This window comes from Homo sapiens, chromosome 2 (genome assembly GCF_000001405.40).
Source record: "Homo sapiens chromosome 2, GRCh38.p14 Primary Assembly".
NCBI classification, from domain to species: domain Eukaryota; kingdom Metazoa; phylum Chordata; class Mammalia; order Primates; family Hominidae; genus Homo; species Homo sapiens.
Window position 1 is genome coordinate 99049199 of NC_000002.12, and position 25690 is coordinate 99074888.

The window sequence follows — 25690 nt, forward strand, 5'->3', positions numbered from 1 at the left end:
ATACCATTTGACCCAGCAATCCCATTAATGGGTATATACCAAAAGGATTACAAATCATGCTACTATAAAGGCACATGTGCACGTATGTTTACTGCAGCACTATTCACAATAGCAAAGACTTGGAACCAACTCAAATGTCCATCAATGACAGACCGGATAAAGAAAATGTGGCACATATACGCTATGGAATACTATGCAGCCATAAAAAAGGATGAGTTCATGTTCTTTACAGGGACATGGATGAAGCTGAAAACTATCATTCTCAGCAAACTAACACAAGAACAGAAAACCAAACACCGCATGTTCTCACTCATAAGTGGGAGTTCAACAATGAGAACACCGGGACACAGGGAGGGGAACATCACACACCGGGGCCTGTCAGGGGGTGGGAGGCTACGGGAGGGATGGCATTAGGAGAAATACCTAATGTAGGTGACAGGTTGATAAGTGCAGCAAACCACCATGACATGTGTACACCTATGTAACAAAGCTGCACATTCTGCACATATACCCCAGAACTTAAAGTATAATTTAAAAAAAAGAAAAAAAAAAAGAAAAATACATTCCTAGAGAAACAAAAAGTGAGAGCATGCCTTGTTGGCAGATCCACCATATAAGAAACACTAAAGGAAGTTCTTCAAACTGAAAATAACTGATCACAGATGGTAATTCAAAACCACACACAAAAAGCAAAGAACAACAATAAAAATAATTATGTAATTATAAAAGACAGTATAGCTGCATCTCTTTTCCATCTGAACTGATTTTAAAATCAATTATATAATATTACATAAGATGATACAAATATAATTGTACTATTGGTCCTATAACAGATGAAATACAATATATTTACCAATAAATGCACAAAGAACGTGGGTGGGAGCAAAGCTTTATTGGACTAAGGAAATGAAAAGAGACAAACTCAAAGCCAAAGTAACAATGAAGACACCCAGAAATGGGAGGGCGAGGGAAGGCTAACATAACAAAAATCTATAAATATATAGTTGCCCTCATTTTTCCTCTCAGGTTTTTAAAAAGACACACAATTGTATAAAGTTATAATAGCAACAATGCATTGTTTTGTAGTATACAGAAAATCCAAAATACTCCAAAATCCGAAACTTCTTGAGCACTGACATGACATTCAAAGGAAATGCTCGTTAAAACATTTCAGATTTCAGATTTTCATATGTATTTTGAAAAGCGCAACTAGTAAGTAAAATTCAAATATTCCATAATCAGAAAAAAATCCAAAATCTGAAATATTTCTGGTCCCAAGCATTCTGGATAAGGGATTCTCAACCTGCAATATGTATAACAGTAATAGAAAAAAATGGAGGAAAAGGGAATAGAACTATGTAACAGTAACAGTTCCATATATCATCAGAATTAAGTTAGTATAAACCTGAAGTAGATTCTGGTAAGTTAGATGCATGTAGCAAACACCAATAATTCACAAAATGCAGGGATGAAAATCACAAAAAAATTTTTTAATGTTTTATTAGATAATATACACTTAATGCAAAAGGAAACAGTAAAGGAGGAATAGAGGAACAAAAAGGCATAAGTCATATAGGAAAAAGTAAAATGGCAGATATAAATCCAACTACAGTCATGTGACACATAATAATGTTTTGGTCAATGATGGACCAGCACACATGATGGTGGGCCCATAAGATTATAATATCATATTTTTACTGTGCCTTTTCTATATTTAGATATGTTTATATACACAAATACTATTGTATTACTATTGCCTATGTATTCAGTACAGTAACATGCTGTACAGGTTTATAGCCTAGGCACAACAGGCTATTCCATATAGCCTAGGTGTTAGGAGATTAAACCATCTAGGTTTCCAGAAGTACACTCTATGATGTTCACACAAAGAAACTGCCGAATGGCACATTTCTCAGAATATATTTTCATCATTAAGAGACACATGACTGTATATCAATAATATTAAATGTAAACTGATAAAGCAATTTAATCACAAAAACTGAAAAACTAAGTAAATAAGCAAGGTTCAACTATATGCTGTCTGTAAGGGACACACTTTAGTTTCAAAGTCAAATAGAATGAAACTAAAAAGATAAAAAATATATCATGCAAAGAGCAACATAAGAAAGCTGAAGTGGTTATGATAATATCAGAGAAAACAGACTTTTTAAAAATGTTACTAGAGATAAAGGAGGACATTTTACAGTGGTAAAGGGTCAAGGCCATCAGAAATGCGTAAGAATATACGTATATATGAACTCAGTAACAAAGCACTAAGTAAATGAACCAAAAAGTGACAGAAATGAAGGGAAAATGATAAAATTCAATGCTCATATTCAGACTTCAATACAGCACTTACAATAATGTTACCACAATAAGGCAGAAGATAACAGGTAAATAGAAGACTTAAACAACATTATAAACCAATCAGGCCTAGAAGACATCTATAGATCATTTCATCAAACAAAGTAGAATACATATTTTTTTCAAGTGCACATGAAACATTCTCTAGAATAGACACTACACTGGGCAATACAACAAAATCAAGAAATTTTTTTAAGCTGTAAAAATATAAAGTATGTTTTCCAACCATAATAATAAAATTAAATTAGAAATGAATAACAGAAAAAAAGGGGAAACTAACAAATATGTGGAAATAAAAAATATAGTCCAAAATAACCAATGGGACAAAGAAGAAATCAAAAGGAAAATTGGAAAATACTTTGAGATTACTTAAAATGAACATACAACATACCTGAACTTATGAGCTGCCGCTAAAGCAGTGCTTAGAAGAAAATTGATGCAGGTAAGTACCTATCTTTAAAAAGAAAAAAAATCTCAAATCAACAACCTAACTTCTTAAGACACTAAAAAAGAAAGGCAAACAAAATCTAAAGCAAGCAGAAGGAAGAAGAAATAAAAATATAAAGGATTGGAGCAAAAATTATAATAATAAAGACTAGAAAAAATAGTAGAAAATATCAATGAAACTAAGAGTTGATTTCTGAAAAGATAAACAAAACTGAGAAAACTTTAGCCAAACTAAGAAAAAAAGAAGTCTCAAATATACAATTATAAATGAAAGAAGAGACACAACAAGAAATACAAAGAATCATAAGTGACTACTGTGAACAATTATATGCCAACAAATTGGATAACCTAGAGGAAAAGAATAATTCCTAGAAATATACAACCTACAAAGATTGAATCATGAAAAAAAATTTTTTTAAAGCCTGAAGAGACCAAAGCAAGTAAGGAGATTAAATCAGCAATAAAAATAAATCTGTCCCAGAACTTTGGGAGGCCTAGGAGGGCGGATCACGAGGTCAGGAGATTGAGACCATCCTGGCTAACACGGTGAAACCCCGTCTCTACTAAAAATACAAAAAATTAGCCGGGCGTGGTGGCAGGCGCCTGTAGTCCCAGCTACTTGGGAGGCTGAGGCAGAAGAATGGCGTGAACCCAGGAGGCGGAGCTTGCAGTGAGCCAAGATCGCGCCACTGCACTCCAGCCTGGGTGACAGAGCGAGACTCCATCTCAATTTAAAAAAAAAAATTAAAATAAATAAATAAATAAATAAATAAATCTTGCCAGGTGCAGTGGCTCATGCCTATAACCCCAGCACTTTGGAAGGCTGAGGCAGGTGGATCACCTGAGCTCAGGAGTTCAGGACTAGCCTGGGCAACATGCCCATCTCTACCAAAAACACAAAAATTAGCTGAGCATAGTAGCGTGCACTTGTAGTCTCAGCTACTTGGGAGGCTGAGGTAGGGGAATAGTTTGAGCCCGAGAGACAGATATTGCAGTGAGCCTTGATGGCACCACTGCACTCCAGCCTGAGGGACAGAAGCAGACCCTGTCTCAAAGATTAAATAAATAAATAGTGTATTCCTGATAGTTAAGATTTAAAAAAAAAATCTTACATCAAAAAAAAGCTCAAGACCAGATGGCTTCATGGGTGAATTCTACTAAGCATTTAAAGAACTACCACCAATCCTCAAATTCTTCCAAAAAATTGAAAAGAAGGGAAGACTTCCAAATTCATTTTAGTGGTCAGCATTATCATGATACCAGAGCAAGACAATGTTTTCTACAAATTTTCTACAAGGGAACTACATGCCAATATTCTTCCTAAATACAAATTCAAAAATTTCCAAAAAAAAAAAAAATACTAGCAAACAAAATTGGATAACATGTTAAAAGGATCATACACCATAATCAAGTAGCATTTATCCCTGAGATGCAAGGATGGTTCAACATATACAAATCAATCCATGTGAAAGGCCACGTTAACAGAATGAAGGATAAAAGTCGTATGATAATCTCAACACATGTAGAAAATGCATTTGACCAACTTCAACGTCCTTTCATAATAAACATAAAAAAGCTCTAAAGAAACTAGGTATAGAAGGTATGTACCTCAACACAATAAAGGCTATATATGACAAGCCCACAGTTAACATCATACTCAGTGGTGAAAAGCTCCAACAAAAAATGGTTAGAAGTAATAAATTCAGTAAATTTTAGGATACAAAATCAACATACAAAGATCAGTAGCATTTCTATACACTGACAGAATGGAAATCAATAAAATCAATAAAACAATCCCATTTATAATAGCATAAGAAAAAAGATGCTATATGTTCACCGAAAACTATAAAACACTGATGAAAGAAATTGAAGAAGACACAAATAAATGGAAAGATATTCCATGTTTACAGATCAGAAGAATTAATAATGTTAATGTTCATACTACCCAAAGCAATCTACAGATTCAGTGTAATCCCTATCAAAATTCCAAGAGCATTTTTACAGAAATAGAAAAAAAATCCTAAAATTCATATGGAACCACAATACACCCTTTAGACAAAGTAATCTTGAGCAAAAAGAACAAAGTTGGAGGCATCACACTACCTGATTTCAAAATACTACAAAACAACAGTAATCAAAACAGAATGGTAGTGCCATAAAAAGCAGACATAGAGACCAATGGAACAGAATAGACAGCCCAGAAATAAATCCATTCATTTACAGTCAATTGACCTTTGACAAAGGTGTCAAGAAGATGCAGTGGAGAAAGGACGATCTCTGCAAATGATAATGGGAACACTGCCTATGGAGAAGAATGAGATTGGACCCTTATTTCAACATATACAAAAATCAACTCTTAATGGATTAAAGACTTAAATATAAGACCTGAAACGGTAAAACTGCTAGAAGAAAATGGAGAGGAAATGCTTCTTGACATTGACCAGGGTAGTGATTGTTTTGGATATAATTCCAAAAGCATAGGCTTCAAAAGAGAAAATAGAGAAATGGGGTTGGATCAAAGTAAAAAACTTCTGCATAACAAAGAAAAGTGTGAAGAGAAAATCTACAAAATGGGAAAAAATTTGTAAACCATACAGCTGATAAGGGCTTAATATTCAAAATATACAAGGAATTCAATAGGAAGAAAACAAATAACCCAATTTAAAAATGGGCAAAGAGCCTGAATAGACATTTCTCAAAAGAAGTCATACAACTGGCCAACAGGTATGTTAAAAAACACTCGACATTGGTAATCATTAGGGCAACATTGCTAATTATTAAAGAAATGCAAAGTAAAAACCACCTCACACCTGTTGGAATGGCTATTACAAGAAAGACGAAAGATAAATGTTGGTGAGGATATGGAGAAAAGGAACCCCTTCCCTTGTACACCATTGGTGGGAATGTAAATTAGTATAGCCATTATGGGAAACAGTATAAAAGTGTCTTTAAAAATTTAAAACAGAACTACTATATAATCCAGCAATCCCACTTCTGGATATACATCCAAAGGAAATGAAATCAGTATGTCAAAAAGACATCTGCATTCCCATGTGCTCTGAATTATTTACAATAGCCAAGATATGGAATCAACCTAAGTGTCCATCAGTGGCTGAATGGATAGCAAACTTGTGGTATATAGATATACAATGAAATACTATTCAGCCTTAAAAACAAAGAAATCCTGCCATTTGTGACCACATGGATGACCCTAGAGGTTCATTATGCTAAGTGAGATAAGCCAGGCACAGTAAGACAAACACTGATCTCGTTTATATGTGGAATCTAAAAAAGTTGAGCTCATAGAAGCAGAGAGTAGAATGGTGGTTACCTGGAGCTGATAGGGCAGGGTGAGGTGAGAGAAAGCTTCAGTTAGACAGAAAGAATAAGTTTTGGGGACAATAGTTAATAATAATGTACTGTATGTTTGAAAATTACTAAGAGGGTAGATCTTAAATGTTCTCACCACAAAAAAAAAAATGGCAAGCATATGAGGTGCTGGATATGTTAATTAGCTTGATTTAATCATTTCACAATTTATACATATATTAAAATATCACATTGTACACTGTAAACAATACAATTTTTTATTTGGTAGATTATACCTTAATAAAACTGGTGGGGGAATAAAGCCAGGCAGAGTTCCTACTGCCAGAAAGAGAGAGGGAGAGAGAGAGAAAGAAAGAAATTAACAAAACAGCCAGGCAGAGTAGCTCACACCTGTAATTCCAACACTTTGGAAGGCTGAGGTGGGAAGATCTTGAGCCCAGGAGGTCAAGGCTGCAGTGAGCCGTGATTGCACCACTGCATTCCAGCCTGGGCAACAAAGCAAGACCCTGTATCCAATTAACAAAAAAAAAAAAAAAAAAAGGAAGAAAAGAAATTACTGAAATAAAGAAAATAACAATAGTCGGCCAGGCGCGGTGGCTCACGCCTGTAATCCCAGCACTTTGGGAGGCTGAGGAGGGTGAATCACGAGGTCAGGAGATCGAGATCATCCTGGCTAATACGGTGAAACCCCGTCTGTACTAAAAATACAAAAAAAATTAGCCAGGCGTGGTGGTGGGCACCTGTAGTCCCAGGTACTCGCGAGGCTGAGGCAGGAATATAGCGTGAACCCGGGAGGCAGCGCTTGCAGTGAGCCGAGATCACGCCACTGCACTCCAGCCTGGGTGACAGAGCAAGACTTCGTCTCAAAAAAAAAAAGAAAATAACAATAGTCAACACAACCAAGTAACCAAGTTAGTTTCTGAAAAGATCAACTAAATTGACAAGTCTGTAGCTAGATTGATCTAGAAAAAAAGACTCAATTAATAGAATCAGAAATGAAATAATGTAGTAACGCAATCCTTACATACTGCATTAGTAGTAATGTGACCTTACTGAAATGAAATAGATTATAAAAATACACTATAAACAACTGTATGCCAATAAATTAAATATCTTGGATGAAATGAACAAATTCCTAGAAAACACAAACTAGCAAAACTGTCTCATGAAAAATAGACTATCTGTATAGATCTATAACAACAAAGAAATTGATTAGCAATTTTAATACTGCCCATAAAGAGGTAATTTTAAAACTTCCCATAAAACTTCTCTACCAGATGGCTTTACTGGTAAATTTTTACCAAACCTTTAAAGAAGAATCAATGCAAATTCCATACAAACTGTTTTGAAATACAGAAGAGGAGGAAACATTTTCTAACTCATTCTATGAGGCCAGTCTCACTCTGATATTAAAAACAGACAACACATTACAAGAAAAGAAAATTACAGACGCTCCTAGAAATACACAAAATCCTTCAAAAAAAAAAAAAAAAAAACTAGAAAGCCAAATCCAGCAACATAAAAAATAATTACATACCATGACCAAGTGGGATTTATCTAAAAATGCAAAGTTGGCTTAGCATATGAAAGTCAATTAATGTAATATACTATATCTATAAAATAAAGAAAAACTACATGATAATCTCAATAGACACAGAAAAAGCATTTGACAAAATCCAACACCCTTTTTGATAAATACACTCTTCAAAGTAACAATAAAAGGGAATTTCTTCAGTGTCATAAAGGTTTTCTATAAAAAACCAACAGCTAACATCATACTTGATGGTAAAAGATGAAATGCTTTCCCCCTAAAATCAGGAACAAGATAAGGATGCCCCTTCTGGACCCTTCTATTCAACACTGTACTAGAAGTTCTAGCCAGGGTAGTTAGGCAAGAAAATAAAATAAAAGGCATCCAGATTGGAAAGGAAAAAGTAAAAACTATCTCTATTCACAGATGACATGATCTTTGATATAGAAAATCCACCAGCCCAGGTGACAGATATAGAAAATCCTAAGGCATTCACTAAAAACTTTTAGACTTAATAAATAAGTTCAGCAAGGTTGCAGGATACAAGATCGATATACAAAAATCATTGTATTTTTATACACTTGCGATGGAGAATCTGAAAATAAAAATAAGAAAACAATTCTATTTACAGTTGCATTCAAAATAATAAAATACTTAAGAATAAAATTAACACAAGAAGACCTAACTTATACTCTGAAAACAACAAAATATTGTTGAAAGAAATTAAAGATCTAATAAACGAAACTACACCTTGTGTTCATGGATCAGAAAACTTAATATTGTTAAGACAGCCATATTCCCCAAATTGATCTACCAGCTCAGCATAGTCTCTATCAGAATCCCAGGTGGTTTCTTTGTAGAAATTGACAAGCTGATCCTAAAATTTATATGAAAATTCAAAAGTCTCAGAATAGCCAAACAATCTTGAAAAAATGAAAACAAAGCAGGAGGACTTTCACTTTTCCATTTCAAAAGCTACTACAAAGCAATAGTAATTATGCCAGTGTGGTACTGATATAAGGATAGACATACAGATCAATGAAATAGAATTAAGAGTCTAGAAGAAGCCCATGTGTCTATGATCTATTGATTTTTGATAGAGGTGCCAAGACCATTCAAATGGTGGGGGGAGGGGAGAAATAGTCTTTTCAACAAATGTTACTAAGATAACTAGATGGACACATGCAAAAGAATGAATTTGGACCCTTACTTCATACCATGTGAAAAAAAATGAACTAAAAATGCATCAAAGACCTAATGGAGGGTTTGGTGGTGATAAAGGGTACAGTGATTCTTTTCAAAGTGATGAAAATGTTCTAAAATTGATTGTGGTGATCATTACACAACTCTACGAACATCTAAGCACTATTAAATTGTATACTTTAAGTGGATAAACTATATGGCATGTTAATTATTCTCAATAAAGCTGTTACAAAAAATAGCAACACAAAAATATGTAGAATACAGCTAAAGCACTGTGTAGGGGAAAATACATACCTTAAATGCTTAGAAAAGAAGAATGGGCTAAAACCAATGACCTAAGCACCTACATTAAAATACGAAGAGAAAAATTAAACATATATTATTTAGAAGGAAAGAAATAATAAAGAGAAGAAATCAATGAAATAGAAAACTAGTTCATTAATAGAGAAAAATCAATTAAATTAATACTCCTTCTTTGGAAAGATAAACATAAATGATAAACTTCTGGCTAGACTGATGAAGAGAATAGAGAAATGCTACAAATTACCAATAACAAGAATGCAAAAAGGAATATAACTACAAAGTAAGAACAAATTTGCCTACAAATTTGACAACTTAGATGAAATAGGCAAATCCTAGCGAAACAGAAATTACCAAAATGACCTAAGAAATCAGAAATCCTGGCTGGGCATGGTGGCTCACGCCTGTAATCCCAGCACTTTGGGAGGTTGAGGTGGGTGAATTATGAGGTCAGGAGTTCGAGACCAGCCTGACCAACATGGTGAAACCCTGTCTCTACTAAAAATACAAAAAATTTGCTGGGCATAGTGGTGGGCACCTGTAATCCCAGCTACTCAGGAGGCTGAGGCAGGAGAATTGCTTGACCCAGGAGATGGAGGTTGCAGCAAGCTGAGATCACACCAGTGTGCTCCAGTCTGGGCAACAGAGTGAGACTCTGTCTCAAAAAAAAAAAATAATATATATATATATATATATTTATATATTTTTATATATATATATATATGCAATCTAATAATGTATGTTTAAAAATACATCATGACCTTGCACCACGAGTGCAGCCTGGGTGACAGAGCTAGACCATGTCTCAACAAAAAACAAAACCACCATGACCTACTATCCAGGAATTATTTTTTAAAGCAATGTATTAGCCAGTTTAACAAACTAAAAAATTAAAGTGATATGACCATCTCAATAGCTGCAGAAAAAGCATTTGATAAAATTTTATACCCATTCATGATACAAACTCTAAGTAAACTTAGGCCAGGCATGGTGGCTCATGCCTGTAATCCCAGCACTTTCGGAAGCCGACGTGGGCAGATCACCTGAGGTCAGGAGTTCGAGACCAGTCTGGCCAACATGTCAAAACCCCATCTCTATTAAAAATACAAAAAAAAATTAGCCAGGCATAGTGGCAGGCACCTGTAATCCCAGCTACTCGGGAGGCTGAGGCAGGAGAATTGCTTGAACCTGGGAGGCGGAAGTTGCAGTGAGCCGAGATCACGCCACTGCACACCAGCCTGGGCGACAGAGCAAGACTCAGTCTTGGGGGAAACACACACACACAACTTTAAGTAAACTTGTAAGACAAGGGAATGTTTTCAACTTGACAAAATGCTTCTACAAGCCCGGCCAACATGGTGAAACCCCGTTTCTACAAAAAAATGCAAAAATTAGCCAGGCATGGTGGCACGCTCCTGTATTCCCAGCTACTCAGGAGGCTGAAGTGGGAGAATCCTTTGAACCCAGGAGGCGAAGGCTGCAGTGAGCCAAGACTGCGCCACTGCACTCCAGCCTGGGCGACAGAGCGAGACCCCATCTCAAAAAAAAAAAAAAAAAAAGCTTCTACAAAAAACCTGCAGCTAATATCATATTCAAAGATGAAACACTGAGTCCTATTTCCTTATGGCTATATATGAGGCAAAAAATATCCACTCTCACCACTTTTATTCAATACTGATATTTGAAGTACTAGGCAGAAGAAAAAGGCGTTCTGAGAAGAGTAAAAGAGAAGAAGTAAAACTATCTTTATACATTTAAGTCATAATTGCATACGTAGAAAATCCTTTTAAAATCTACAAAAACCTACTAGGACTAAAACATTGAATTTAAACAATGTTACAGAATAAAAGGTCACAAAATTCTATTCTACTTTTGTGTATAGGCTATCAAAACCTGGAACATAAAATTCAAGAATAAAATATCATTTTTACAATGGCATTGTAAAGACTGAGATATTCTATAAGAGCCATAAAAAACCCCATGAGATAATATGGGATACATTTAACAAAATATATTTAATACCTATACACTGAAAAGTACAAAACATTGTTGAGAGAAATAAAAGACCTGCCTAAATAAATAAATGAGTGGATACACCATGTTTATGGATTGGAAGACTCAATATTGTTAAAATCTCAACTCTTCCCATACTGAACTGTATATTCAAAATAATGCTAATCAAACCCCAAGTAGGTTTTTTTTCTGTAGAAAATGATATGCTCATTCTAAATTTATGTGGAAATGCAGAGGACCCATAGTAGCCAAACATTTGAGGAAAGAACACATTTGGAGGATTTAACTAACTCATTTCAAGATCTACCATAAAGATATATTAATCAAGTCACTGGGTTACTGGCTAAGGATAGATGTATACCCAGAAGAGAGTATAGAAACAGATCCACACATATATGATCATTTGATTTTTGTGAAAAATTTGTAGATAATTCAATGATGAAATAAGTCTTTTCAATAAGTGGTGCTGGATACCTTCATATCTGTATGAGAAAAAATGAACCTTGACCCTTATCTTACATCATACACAAGTATTAATTCAATTGTAGCATAGATCTAAATATAAAATCTAAAAATATAAAATTCCTAAAAGAAAGTCTATGCACCTTGGTGCATGCAAAGATTTATCAGGACATAGAAGTACAAAGTATAAAAAGAAAATTGGTAAACTGGACTTCATCAAAAATGTAAAACTTCTGCTCTTAGAATGATTTTATTAAGAAAACAGAAAGGCAAGCCAATGACTGGGAGAAAATATCCAAAATCTAAAGTGTTCAAAAAATATCTACAATTTAATAACAAGAAGATAAACATGCCAATAAAAAGATGGGCAATAGATTTGAACAGCTACTTCACAAAAGAAGATAGACTCATGACCAGTAAGCATGTGAAAATCTGTTCAACATCATTAGTCGTGAGGAAAAGGTAAACTAAAATATGAATGTGATAACCTTACTCATCTATTAACAATACCAAGTGTGGGAGAAGATTTAGAGCAACTATCACACAGTGCAAGCGGGAGTGTAAACTGATATAACCACTTTGTTTTTTGTTTCCATCTCCTCCAGCATTTATCCTTTGTGTTACAAATAATACAATTAGACTCTTTTAGTTATTTTTAAATGTACAATAAATTACTGTTGACTATAGTCACCCTGTTGTACTATCAAATACTAGATATTATTTATTCAATTTGTCAGGTTTTTACAAAGTTAAGCATACTTACCATATAATCCAGCAATTCCACTCCTAGTTATTTATCCAAGAAAAATGAAAACTTACATGAACGCAAAGACTTGAACACAATGTTCACAGAAATTATATTCCTCACGGCCAAAAACTAGAAACAACCTGTTATGGACAAAACTGTGTCCCCTCCAAATTCATACGTTGAACCCTAACCCCCTAGTGTGACTATATTTGGAGATAGGACCTTTAAAGAGGTAATTAAGGTTAAATGGGGTTATAAGGATAGGATCCTAATCCAACATGACTGGTGTCCTTATAAGAATAGGGAGAGACACCAAGGATGTGCATGCACAGAAGAAAGGCCATGTGAGAATGTAGCAAGAAGGCAGACATTTGCAGACCAAGGAGAGAAGCCCCAGAAGAAACCAAACCTTCCGGCACTGTGATCTTAGATTTCCAGTCTCCAGAACTGTGAGAAAATCATTCAGAGGGAAATAAACAAATCCACAGTTACAGAGGAAGATTTTAACATGTCTTTCAGTATTTGAGAGATCAAGAATACAAATATAGTAAGGATTTATAAGACTTGACTGACACTATTAACAAGCCTAATCTGTAAATATATATAACATACATATATGTGTCCACCAAGAAGTGAGCACAGATGCTTTTCAAGGTCATGTAGAATATTATCAAATATTGATTACATAATCTGCCACTAAGCAATTCTTAGCAGATAACAAAGAATTAATTATCATAAGCCATTTTATCTGATCACAATATTAGAAACATTAGACAATAAGATATTAGACACAACAAAGTAAAAATAGACTAATAACCTCAAGTCCCCTGCACATTGGAAAGTTTTTTAAAACTTCAGGTCAAGTGTGGTGGCTCATGCCTCTAATCCTAGCACTTTGGGAGGTTGAGGTGGGAGGATCACTTGAGGCCAGGAGATCAAGACCAGCTTGGGCAATATAGTAAGACTCCATTGCTACAAAAATATTAAAAATTAGCTGGGTGTGGTGACTCACACTTGTAGTGTTAGCCACTTGGAGGCTGAGACAGATGGATCACCTGTGCCCAGGAATTGGAGGCTGCGGTGAGCTATGATTGTACCACTGCACTCCAGCCTAGGAACAGAGTGAGACTCTGTCTCAAACAAACAGACAAACAAACTTTAGTAATTAAAAATAAATCATAATGAAACGAGATGATATTAAAAACTGAATGGCAATGAAAGGATTATCTCAAAACTTGTGGGCTGCAGGTGGCTGCACCCAAAAAAATAGAAATTTCCAGTCTTCAATGCATAGAAAAGAAATAAAATCATGAAATCTGATACATTTATTCTAAAATTCATCTGAGACAGGTTAATAAGGACCAAGTACAGTCCAGATAATTTGAGGGAACATTAATTCTTCCAGATATCAAGACTCAACATAAAATTATAATAGCTACAAGAGTGTGTTATTGACAAGGGGATAAATTGACCAATGGAGCAGAATGTATGGGAACTTATTTTTATGACAAAGTAGACTTGACTTATATTTCAGAGAAGAAAGGACAACGGATATCTATTCACAAAAATAAAAATTATATGTCTACTTCGAACTGCACAAAATCAATCTCAAGCAGGTTAAAGTCCTAAATGTAAATGGCAAAATTTCACATACTTTCAAACATTTAGAAGAACTTTTAAATGAAAATATAGGAAAATATCTCTCTGGCCTTGGGATTGTATAGGATTTCTTAAAGAAGACATAAAAGTATAAACTATATAGGAAAATATTGATAATAATTCTGAGTATATCAGAACTGAACATGTCTGTTTATACTGCAAGGAAGGTGAAAAGACAAGCCACAGACAAGGACAATATAATTGTAATATCTTTAAGAGGATTATTATCAAGAATACATAGAGAATTCCGTTAAAAATCAATATGAAGGCAGGGTGTGGTGGCTCAGGCCTGTGATCCCAGCACTTTGGGAGGGCAAGGTGGGTGGATCATGAGGTCAAGAGATCGAGAACAGCCTGGCCAACATGGTGAAACCCCATCTCTACTAAATACAAAAAAAAAACTAGTTGGCCAGGGTGGTGCGCACCTGTAGTCCCAGCTACTTGGGAGGTTGAGGCAGGAGAATCACTTGAATCTGGAAAGCGGAGGTTGCAGTGAGCCAAGATCACGCCACTGCACTCCAGCCTGGCGACAGAGCGAGACTCCATCTCAAAAAAATATATATATATGAAAAAGATAAGCTATGCAATAGAAAAATGGCCAAAGTTTACAAAAATTTCATTCAAGAGAAATTCAAGAAAATGTTCATAGAGGAAGAATCCTAAATGGCAAAGAAACATGAAAAGGTCCTCAATTTCACTTGCAATCAAGGAAGCACAAGACAAAAAGTATGGAAAAAATTGTCTGACAATATCAAGTATTGATTCACATTTGAGAAAATAACTCAGGATTTCTTATGGCAGAATGACACTTTAGAGAGCAATTTGACAAAAACTTAGAAGAGCTGAAATTGCACATATCTTGGATCTACTCCAGGCATATAGCTTTTTAAAATTCACTTCCAGGCATAAATATAGGGAAACATGTAGTCAAGGAGAAATGTAAAAGGTTTGTTGCAGTGTTTTATCACAGAAAAAAGTGAAAAAAAATTAACTTTCCTTCAATATGGGAATGAATTTTAAAAAGGGAATATTTATACAATGAATATATGCAACTGTTTGAGTAAAGCAGTACACTATATATATATCAAAATAGATGTGTCAAAATTATAATATTGAGCAAAGAGGGCAAGTTGCAAATGAATATCTCCAACTATGTTTGTTTTCACTTAAATAAAAACCAAAACATACCAAATAACATTATACATTATTTGTGGGTGTAAGATTGTAGAAAAAGTATAAACATATGCAAAGGAGTTAGACACACTGACAGGAAAGTTATGCACACCAGCAACTAGGGAGGTAGGAGGGAAAAGGATGAGAGAAGTTTTATCTGTAATGTTTTATTTCTTTAAACAAGGAGACATTTGAAGCAAACATGGCAAAATGTTAGTATCCTTACATGTGGGAGCTGGGGATATGTTTATCTGTTTTGTTACTTTTGCACTTTTATGGTATGTTTGAAATAGTTTCTAATTTTAACAAATGCTAATGATTGTTCTGGATGTAGGGTAGATAAGAGATTGTAGAAGAATCAAAGTATAAGGAGAATGGTTAGCATGCTACAATTCACAGTACATTTAAATAATTTACGTGTTTGTTCATACATTTAATTTATGGAAGGCCAAACAAAACTCTTTTAAATATGATGCAGGATGTATTATAAGCATATTTTTCCAAACTTACTTGCTCAACCTCTCTGTTGAGGGAATCTACTTTTTCTTTTAATCTGTTACCCTCTGCCTCAGCAGTGATAAGTTCCAGTTTGAGGGTATTGTTATCTGCCTCTGATTGACGGGCTTTATTTTCCCAGTTTTCAGCATCTTCATTGGCTTTTCGAAGTTGTTCCATCATTTGCCGGTTCTCAGATTCCTGAAAAGCAAACTTTAGCTATTACTTTAAAATGCTGAACATATGATAAAAATTAAACATTATTATCCAAGTCATTGGGAATTCACTTGCCATGAGAAGCGTTTATAATAGAACCCTGAGGAAATATATCTATACTCTTAGTTTAGAAAACAGGTCATCCTGTAATTAACAAAGACTGCAATCAGCATCTGCCCTGGCTCCTGAGTAACACTCAGTGAACACTAGTAAATAGTAAATTTAGGTAAATTACTCTTTTCTTCAAGACCTGAATGAATTTGTTCTTATATTTCCTTTTGTTTGAAGTCCTCCACAGCCTGCTTTTCCCATATGTCTGCTTACTGACTACTTGCTGGTCTGGATTCTGAGCCTCTGACCTTTCGTACTGGTGTATTCCCTTGTTCTTGACCAATTTACCGGGCTGTGCTGGCTACAGAGCTTCTGAGTACTTGCATATTTTAAATGTCAGCTTCTGATAATTTCCTGTCTGGTGTCTGCCTTTTATTCATAGCCCCAGCCTTAATTATCTTGATCATGAACTGTTCTATGATTATCTTTTACCTGCTAGTCTAGTAACTTTCCCTGCCAGTCTAGTAACTTTCCTGAAATTGCTCAGAAGTAAACTATCAAACCTATGCCAATAAACACTAGTTGTAAATATGCATTCATGTATAAATTGAGCATACAATAAGAACCAGATTTTTTGAACTTTCAAAATTCTATCATGAGCAGAGTAACTGAAGTAGGGTCTGATTTCTAGTAGGGAAATAAGGAGGGAAAAAAATTCAGCTCCACAAACAATATAATAGACCGAGTAATCATTATTAGGCTATTTAAAAAAATATTTTATTATGGTTTGGTGAATTCATTCTAAAAAATTAGTTGTAATTTTGGTAATTTTTTAAAAGGCACTAGATCTCTTTCTCTCCTGTTAATAAATAGTGCACGTCCCTATCAGAAATCCTGGGCTAAATAAAATGACCAAATTGCAATAAATAATGTCTAATACTCCTTTCAAATCAGATAAGCCATTTCCTGATTATGTTTACTGGTGGAAATTCAGCTAATATTGCCACCTTGTGGCCTCTAATGTGAAAGATCTTTGCCAAGTCTGTGTTAGTCAACAATATACTAAACTACCTTATTGGCTTTCAAGATTCAGATACTCCAACTGTGTCAGCAGGAACCTGATATGTGTTTTCCATGATTGTACTAACAATCATAGTTGTGTACAGAGTATGTACTTGGAGGGTGCTTGTACAATATACTTAAACGAATTGTATTCACATTGATCTTTACCCTCTTTAACTTTGTGCAGTACTTACTGTCTATGTCATTCACTTAAAACTGCCTTACAGCTTTGTGTTGCTAGGTGTGGATGTAAAGCCTCCCTGATAACACCTTGTATTTCTCTAAAGCAGGAACCATTTTTATATTAAATTTAGTTCTGTGACCAGGTAGTACATTATTCAAAGTGAAAAGGGATTCCGTAGAATGTCTCTCCTGTCCTCCAACCACCCAGTGCTCCCTCCTTCTTGGCAAGCAGAAAGCATATTTTACCCTTTTTCATATCCTCCCATAGAGGCCAGAGCAGTGTTGAGCATGAGAGGCAACACTATAAAGAAAATGAAACTGTTCTTTGGTATTCTCTATTTCCTGCTTTCAGGATCTCTTTACTTCTATATGGTGCCTCCCCTGTATCCACAGCTCCCTCTGGCCACCCACAAGTCTCACTGCAACACTCCGTAGGCCTCAGCTGGAATCCTTTGCATTTCTTGCCTAAATTATGGTTACAACCTCTTCTAACTGCTCTCTCCACTTCTGATTTTGTTACCCTTCTGGTTTATTCTTGACGTTTCCAAAATAAACTTCCTAAAAGGCAATCCTTAAATAACTTATATGTTTTAGTTCTAACAAAAGCTTCTGAAAATAGGGTTCAAAGAAGGTCTTTCTTACCTCTCCTTTATCATCCACTTGTACACACTACTCTACCTACAGGACCTACTTTTTCCCCTACACCTTTGCTCATGTTGTTCCCACTGCCTGGCAGTCATTCTGTTTCCTCTCCATTTTTCATCTCTGGCACTCCAGCACCTAGCACGCTGCATGAATGAGTGAATGAATGAAGTACTCCACACTTCTTGATGGTCTATCCCTATCAAAATGGATCCGTGGTTCATTCTCTCCGGGCCTGCATCCATCCAGTGTTATGCAATCTCATAAACAAATTCATACTAGGATGCTAAAATCCCCAGCACTTCGGAAGGCCGAGGTGGGAGGATCACTTGAGCCTAAGAAGCTTGATGTGTGATGTCTGAAAATATAATTCTAGAATCTAAAAGTTATAATCCCTAATGGTGGAATTTCAGGTAATGTTACTAACAGACAAGGGAGATAAAGGGAAGTGTTTAACACTGGCTGAAAGCTTACTATGTTAAATGTTGCTCTGGGGTGAGTGCAGTGGCTCATGCCTGTAATCCCAGCACTTTGGGAGGCCGAGACAGGTGGATCACTTCAGGTCAGAAGTTCGAGACCAGACTGGCTAACATGGCGAAACCCCGTCTCTACTAAAAATACAAAAATTAGCCGGGCATGGTTGCATGCACCTGTAACCCCACCTACTCAGGAGGCAGGAGAATCGCTTGAACATGGGAGGCAAAGGTTGCAGTGAGCCACGATTGCACCACTGCACTCCAGCCTGGCAATACAGTGAGCCTGTCTCAAAAAAAAAAAAAAGTGTTGCTCTGGATATTCATTTATTTATTTCTGACCTATTCTAGAATAGATTCAGATGGCTCACTGTGCTAGGTGTTTTAAATTATCTCACTTACTTGGGTGTTCTTCCCGATTACAGATGGGAAGAATCAGAGAGGCTGAGTAGCCTGCATAAATAAAAAGCCTTTTGTTCATTTATGGTATTACATTGCTGGAACCTTAAAATCAGGAAGTGTAGGAAACCACGTGCTTTTCCTACACAGGCTGCTTGCTGCCTGAAAGCAAGGATTGCAATTTAGAAATCCTTAGAATCTCTTCTGTCTCAAAGCCCTTAACAGTACTATGCATACCATAAATAAATGTTCAAGATATGTTTGTGGACTGACATGAAATGATAAAATAGTATAGGTGGATTGATTATTATAATAGGTATAGTGTTACCTACATACCACTCAAACCATTAATGGGAACATCCTCCCTCAATTTTAGATAATATTTTACCTAATAGACATATCTAAAATCCTCAGTAAAGCTGCCTGTTTATTCCTGAGTTGCCACACATGCACCACACTTATTGGAGTCATCTGATGTCATGTACATGTGCCTGGTCAAATGATTGCTAACAGAGAAGTGTGAGGAGAACCATCTGCCTTGTGGTCCTAAAAAAAATAGATGGTCCCATAACAGGGTAACCAATTCTGATCTGCTACATAATCAGGTGGAACCTCTTTTGTCAGAGGTTTATAACTGGAAACCCCACCACTTTCAATTAATTATAAGCGAGGTCAAATTGATTTTAGCCCTTTGTCCATCATCCAGTTAGGAAGATTCTGCTTGTCTAGAGTGGCAGAGTTGCAAAACAAAAGGGGCATATTCTCCAGGCATCTTTCTGAACATTCTAAATATGTAGTTAACCCACCATTGTCAAAACTAAAATATACTATGTATTAAAGAAAGCTTTGATTCACCTGTCGTTCTGAGTATACCAACTTCTAAATTAACTCTAGTGAAAACTAAGTATCATGAGCAAAAAGAAAAAAAAAATACATACTTCAGACTTTAATATATTCTTCAGCTTGTTAACCTCCAAATTAGTATCTTGAACCTTCTGTTTTATGTCATTAAGTTCATTATGAGTGTCATTCAATTTTTTGGACAGTGCCTACGAAAAAAAGATAGGTATATTTGACTATGAAAAATAAAAAATTTCTATATCTCAAAAATACCATAAACAAATTTTTAAACACTTGGAACAAATAAAATTAACATACCTAATATATAAACTCATATAAAAAAAGAAAACACATAAGCCCAATAGCAAGTGGGCAAATGACCCAAATAAGCAATTCAAAAAAGGAAGCATAAGTAGGTAAGACCTGAAAAAAACTCTACTAGCAACTGAAGATATGCTAATTAAAACAACACATTACTATTCTGCTTATCAAATTAATAAAGATTTAAAGCTATTCAGCTATGGTAAAGAATGGGCATTTCCATGTACTACTGGAGTAAATGTAGATTTGCAGAAAGCAAATCTGTGATCAGGAATCTGGTGATGTATCAAGAGACAATTTTTAAATGCTCATAAAAACAAGAAAGACAAAAATGTTGATTATTTTTGAAGGTGGGAAATGGCACATGGGGATTCATTATATTTGAAAATGTCTATTTACATTTTTTTAATTTAAAAAAGAAACCTCAGCTGGGTGTTTTTCCTGTAATCCTGGCACTTTGGGAGGATCACTTGAGCCTAAGAGTTTGAGACCAGCCTGAACAACATAGTGGGAACCCAACTCTACAATAAATAAATAAATAAATAAATAAATAATAATTAAAAAGAAACCTGATAATCTGTGATTCACTCTGAAATGAAATCTAATAAAATTTAATGAGATGCTGTCATTAAGGCATTTGTTACAGTGACAATATTTATTCACATTAAGTGAATCATGCAGTAAATAATAGTATATCTACATAGTGGCATAACCACATAATGGAATATTACATACCTGTGAGAAATGTTTGGAATGATTTTTAATAATACAGGGAAATATTTGCCTATGTTAAGTGAAAAAAAAATCGTGCTAAAACACAAAAATACCTCATTATCCCAATTTGTTAAAAATTGTGGTATCAAGGATAAATTTTTTTTAAGTTTCCACTTTCTCGTCTTCTGCAATACTGGTTCTTAACCTGTGGTCCACAGAGAGAGACCTCTCTTCTACCTTGGGCCTATGACCATAACGAAGAAAAAACTACTTTTGAGCATATGTAAATTGTTATGACAACAGTTTTCTTCTGATTATAAAAAATGTTTACAAAGTTTGAACAAGGCAGGAAAATGCTTACAATATTATAGTAAGCTAATAATAGCTATAAAATATTTATTGAGTGATATACTGGACAGTACAGTAAGTGCTTTCCAGGTATAGTCTCACTTATTAACCATTTTTACAGATGCTACAGAGACTCAGAGAAGTTGGTTTATATGATCACACACGCAGAGAGCAAGATTCAACCCATGTGAATCTTACTCGACTCTACTGCCTCTTCATGTAGAAAAAAGCATGATCTAAAGTGATAGGTGATTTTATCCCACTACATTAGAAAATGTGTATAAAAATAGTGTTAAAATTTTTAAGTGCACTGTATAGCAATTAAAAAAATATGTCAAATATAACAGTAACTGAGTATCAAAAACATGGGGGCTTTTCTAAACTCTTAACTTTTTGTTTAGAAAAAAGACTTTCTATAATAAGCTTCTATTTCTAAACCAATCAAAAAAATAGAAACTAAATTTCTAGGTTTTCATAAATAAGATATATCCACCTTTAGCCCATATGCTCTAGCTGTAAAGAGTACACAAAGGCAAACCTTACAAATTCCCATGTTTTGGTTTTTATTGCTATTCATTAATTTTTTAAATAAACTTTTAGAATAGTTTTAGATTTACAGAAAAGTTGTGAAGACATTATAAAGGGCACCTCTATTGTTAACATTTTACATTAGTATGGTGCATATGTCACAATTAATAAGCCAATATTGACACATTATTATCTGAAGTCCATACTTTATTCAGATTTCTTTCCTTTTTTACATAATGTCCTTTTTCTATTCCAGGATCCCATTATTCATTTACTTTTAAACAAAATACTTTAACATCTCAGATAATTTTTTATGATTAACAAAGTATTACAGCTTTATAGCTGTTTAAGTAAATTAATAATCTTCAACAGTTAAAGAACACAGACTTTCAGGATGCAAACTAAACACACTGAAAGTGATACAAAGTGGGGAAAACCATTTGGTCTTAAAAATTTTGAGAAGGGAAGAAATTTTCCAAATAGGATTTTTAAATGTTCACGTTAAAATAAATGTTATTGGAAATGAGAACTGCAGATTAGACTTAAATATATTGCCTTAGGGAGAAAGAGTAATTATAAGAGGAACTTTCCTAAAAAGAATCACAGTGCTAATGAGAACCAAAAAACAAGGCACAGTCCATACATTCATACTTAAAACAGAATAATATGTAGTCCATTTTTTTAAAAAAAAAACACCTATTCTTTTCTTTAAGGTTTCTCAAGGTTTTTATTCTCATTTTTTGATTATTCAAATATTTATCCTTCAGCAAGGAAGTACTAAGCTTTAATACAAATATAGCCCTGTTCTCTCTTTTCTTTAATATTTAACCCTTTGTGTCTGAGAATTCCATTTAAAAATTATGTGGCCTATTTTGTTATTTTTTAAAAAAAAGAAAAGGCTAGTTCCAGTGTCTGAGCTCTTCTATAAAATAAAATGAGGGCTGTTCCTCACAAGAAATTCATATTTTTTTTTCTTGGAGAAAATGATTCTAGGAACAAGTGTACCTGGTTTTCTTGTTTAGCTTTAGCAAACTGTTCCTGGAGATTGTCATTGTCATGAGCCAAGATATCTCTTTCCCTGGCGATCTGGGCCAGCTCATCATTTGTCTCATCCAATTGCCGACGCATTCTGGAAACGTCTTGTTCACACACAATTAGGGCCTCAGTACACTGTCTATTCCACAAATCAAAGAGTACATAAGAAGAGACATTTTACTGAAACAGAGCAACAAATTCTCACAAGACAGAAGATGGACAGTTAGTATGAAAACATTTGAAGAGATTTTAAACACGTTTGAATTTATAGGAATAAATACTGCAAAGACAGTGCATTAGAGTTTCTCAATGTTGCCATCATTTCGCTATGAAAAGGATACAAAGTATACATAATAGTCAATGATTTGCCAAATATTTCAAAACTTCTTACATCAAGTATTAGGAAGGCTTTCATCCTACTTCTGTTATGGCTTAGTCTCCTTTACAGATTCCTCTTCCTCTGCCCACTTAAAAATTAATGCTTTTCAGGGCTCAAGCCCTAGCCTCCCAATTATTCTCACTCTAACCCTTCTCTCAGACAAACTCTATTCATATCCATGGTTCCCAACCCCATCTAGATCCAATGACTCCAAAATAATTATCTCCAGTTTTAGACCCTCTGTTATACTCCAGACTTATATTTAACTGCTTACTAGACATGTCTACAATAAGGTCCCAAAGGTTCTTCAAATTCAGAGGTAAAATCATTTTTTCTCCTCATACTTTCTTCATGTTCAGTATTTGTCCCTGGCCAGAAACTTGGCATTTTCCTGGTGTCTCTCCCTCATACAAAAGCATTTCACTCCTTCTGTCCCACAACTCCTAAACCCCAATTTATCACCACCTCTTCTGCTTAGGTATCTTTCTAACACAAAATTCTCCTCAGAATTCTTTAATGATTTCTTATTGCCCAAAGGATATAACCAATACTCATTTGTCTGTTACACAAGCCTCTGCCTGCCTATTTAGTCTCCTCCCTTCACTTCTCCCCTTACACTCTAGGTTTCAACAACACTCACCCACTTGTAGGTCAAGAGGCTTGTCAACATGATCTGTGGTTCTTTGCTATTCTTTCTACTTTAAATGCCCTTCCCTTCCCCTTATTTTACTTGGCAAACACCATCCCCTCTTTTAGTTCCTTAGACAGACTTAGGCCTCCTTTGATGAGAGAGTTAGCACCTTACACGTATCATTAAGCCCCTTGTTTCTTACTATCTTTGTACCTAACATGGTACTTGGCCCCCCAGTAAGAGCTCATATATTTGTTGCACGACTGATTTACCTTGATGCCTGTTCCATCTCAGCAATGATATTCTTCATGCCTGAAATGGTCTTTTCCTTGAAAAATAATATAAGTATTAAATAAAAAAATCTTAAGCTGTTATTTCTGTTAAAATTGAATGAACAAAAAGAAAATTTCCCTTTCCCTTTAGGTTTCCATTTGGTTTTAAAAACATGTATGTCCTATTCTTTTCCACACTTTAAAGCCTAGTATATCAATGTGAATATTTGCACTGGGTAAAAATAGATTATGTTCATTAAAGTAAAGGCTATACTTAGGTGTAATTATGAGATCAGTATATCAAATTCTTTGTCAAAAGATATTTTATGCAGTCACCCAGCAATACAAGAACCCTATAACCACCTGTTTTTGGAGGCAAACCAATGGTTTGGCATTGGAGTATTGGCATTTTATACTGGGATTTAGAACTGGTTCTCTTGCTCACATTCTTTATGTTATAAAACCCAGAGAAGCCAATCATGTATACCTAAATTTAGTTTTTAAGAATAATTTTGATTAAGTGTATTATTTATATTAGCCAGCAACAAAATCTTCAAAAAGCTGTTCCAATCCAATTACTTATAGAAGTATACTACTGATATTTAGGTGAGAGCTAATAAGAAGGTAAGCATTAGGCCTCGAGCAAAGGTAAGAGAAATAAACTATATTTTCCTTTTTCAAAGGCGTGATGAGGGAGTAGAAGTAGTGGAGTCAGTCAAGGCAGAAATGGGTTTGAATATCTTAATGCCTTTAATACCATTCCCACACCTCTTTTTAAAACTTCCATTGACCCTGAACTAGTCCAACTATAAACAGATACTTAGAGCTAACATTAGCCCTAAAAAAGTAAGAAAGTTATTTCACTAAGTAATAACTAGATTTCACCTTGCCATTTGAATTTTCAAATTTTAAGTAACTAAGTAAAAAGATTTTTAAAAACCCAAACCTATATTTTCCAACCAATTCTGTTCCTGTTTCTTTTCTTTTTTTTTTTTTTTTTTTTTTTTTTTTTGAGATGGAGTTTTGCTCTTGATGCCCCGGCTGGAGTGCGAGGGCGCGATCTCGGCTCACTGCAACCTCCGCCTCCCAGGTTCAAGCGATTCTCCTGCCTCAGCCTCCCAAGTAGCTGGGACTACAGGCATGCGCCACCATGCCCAGCTAATTTTTTGTATACTTAGTAGAGACGGGGTTTCACTATGTTGGCCAGGCTGGTCTCAAACTCCTGACTTCAAGTGATCCACCCACCTCGGCCTCCCAAAGTGCTGGGATTACAGGCGTAAGCCACTGCGCCCGGCCGTTCCTATTTCTTTAGCGTTAGTTTTACACATATTTGCGTGTGTGTGTGTGTGTGTGTGTGTGCTATCTTCCTTTATTCATGTGCTCTTCTCCAGGGTATTTTTAGCTACAGTTTCCCATTCTGCTTTCTCATGGAATGGTACAGATTCCACATCTGGCAGTAATAGATACTGGTGTGTTGTTAAAATATGCATTAAAAAAAAAGTTAAACCCCTTCAAGAAGGACAAGCCAACGAAGGAAAAACTAAAAGACAAAATACTCCATAAAATGGAATGTTTACACATTTTTGAAATATAATTTAATACATTTCTAAACAAATTCTGAAAAGCTAGTTGAACTAGTGCTTTTGAAAGTCTTTACTTGAGGCCGAATGCGGTGGCTTATGCCTGTAATCCCAGCACTTTGAGAGGGTGAGGCAGGCGGAACACGAGGTCAGGAGTTTGAGACCAGCCTGACCAACATGGTGAAACCCCATCTCTACTGAAAATACAAAAATTAGCCGGGTGCAGTGGTGGGCGCCTATAATCCCAGCTACTCAGGAGACTGAGGCAGGGAATCACTTGAACTCGGGTGG

At 35.2% G+C, this 25690-nt stretch overlaps 1 protein-coding gene across 23 annotated transcripts in view; it reads right to left on the minus strand.

Moving 5' to 3' along the window:
• Nucleotides 1-25690, minus strand: part of TSGA10 (testis specific 10) — a 157706-nt gene that overhangs the window by 51938 nt on the left and 80078 nt on the right. For 21 of the 23 annotated variants that reach the window (NR_146001.2, XM_047445934.1, XM_047445931.1 and 18 more), the window contains 4 exons: nucleotides 23820-23875; nucleotides 22508-22676; nucleotides 19690-19800; nucleotides 15741-15926 (listed from right to left, as the gene is read on the minus strand). Coding sequence is in view for 22 of the 23 variants with exons in the window: in XM_047445934.1 (XP_047301890.1) it covers nucleotides 15741-15926; nucleotides 19690-19800; nucleotides 22508-22676; nucleotides 23820-23875 (522 nt within the window). In the remaining variant the exon portion in view is untranslated. The remainder of the gene's footprint in view (nucleotides 1-15740; nucleotides 15927-19689; nucleotides 19801-22507; nucleotides 22677-23819; nucleotides 23876-25690) is intronic. The other 2 variants (NM_001349013.2, NM_001349014.1) reach the window with 1 other exon arrangement.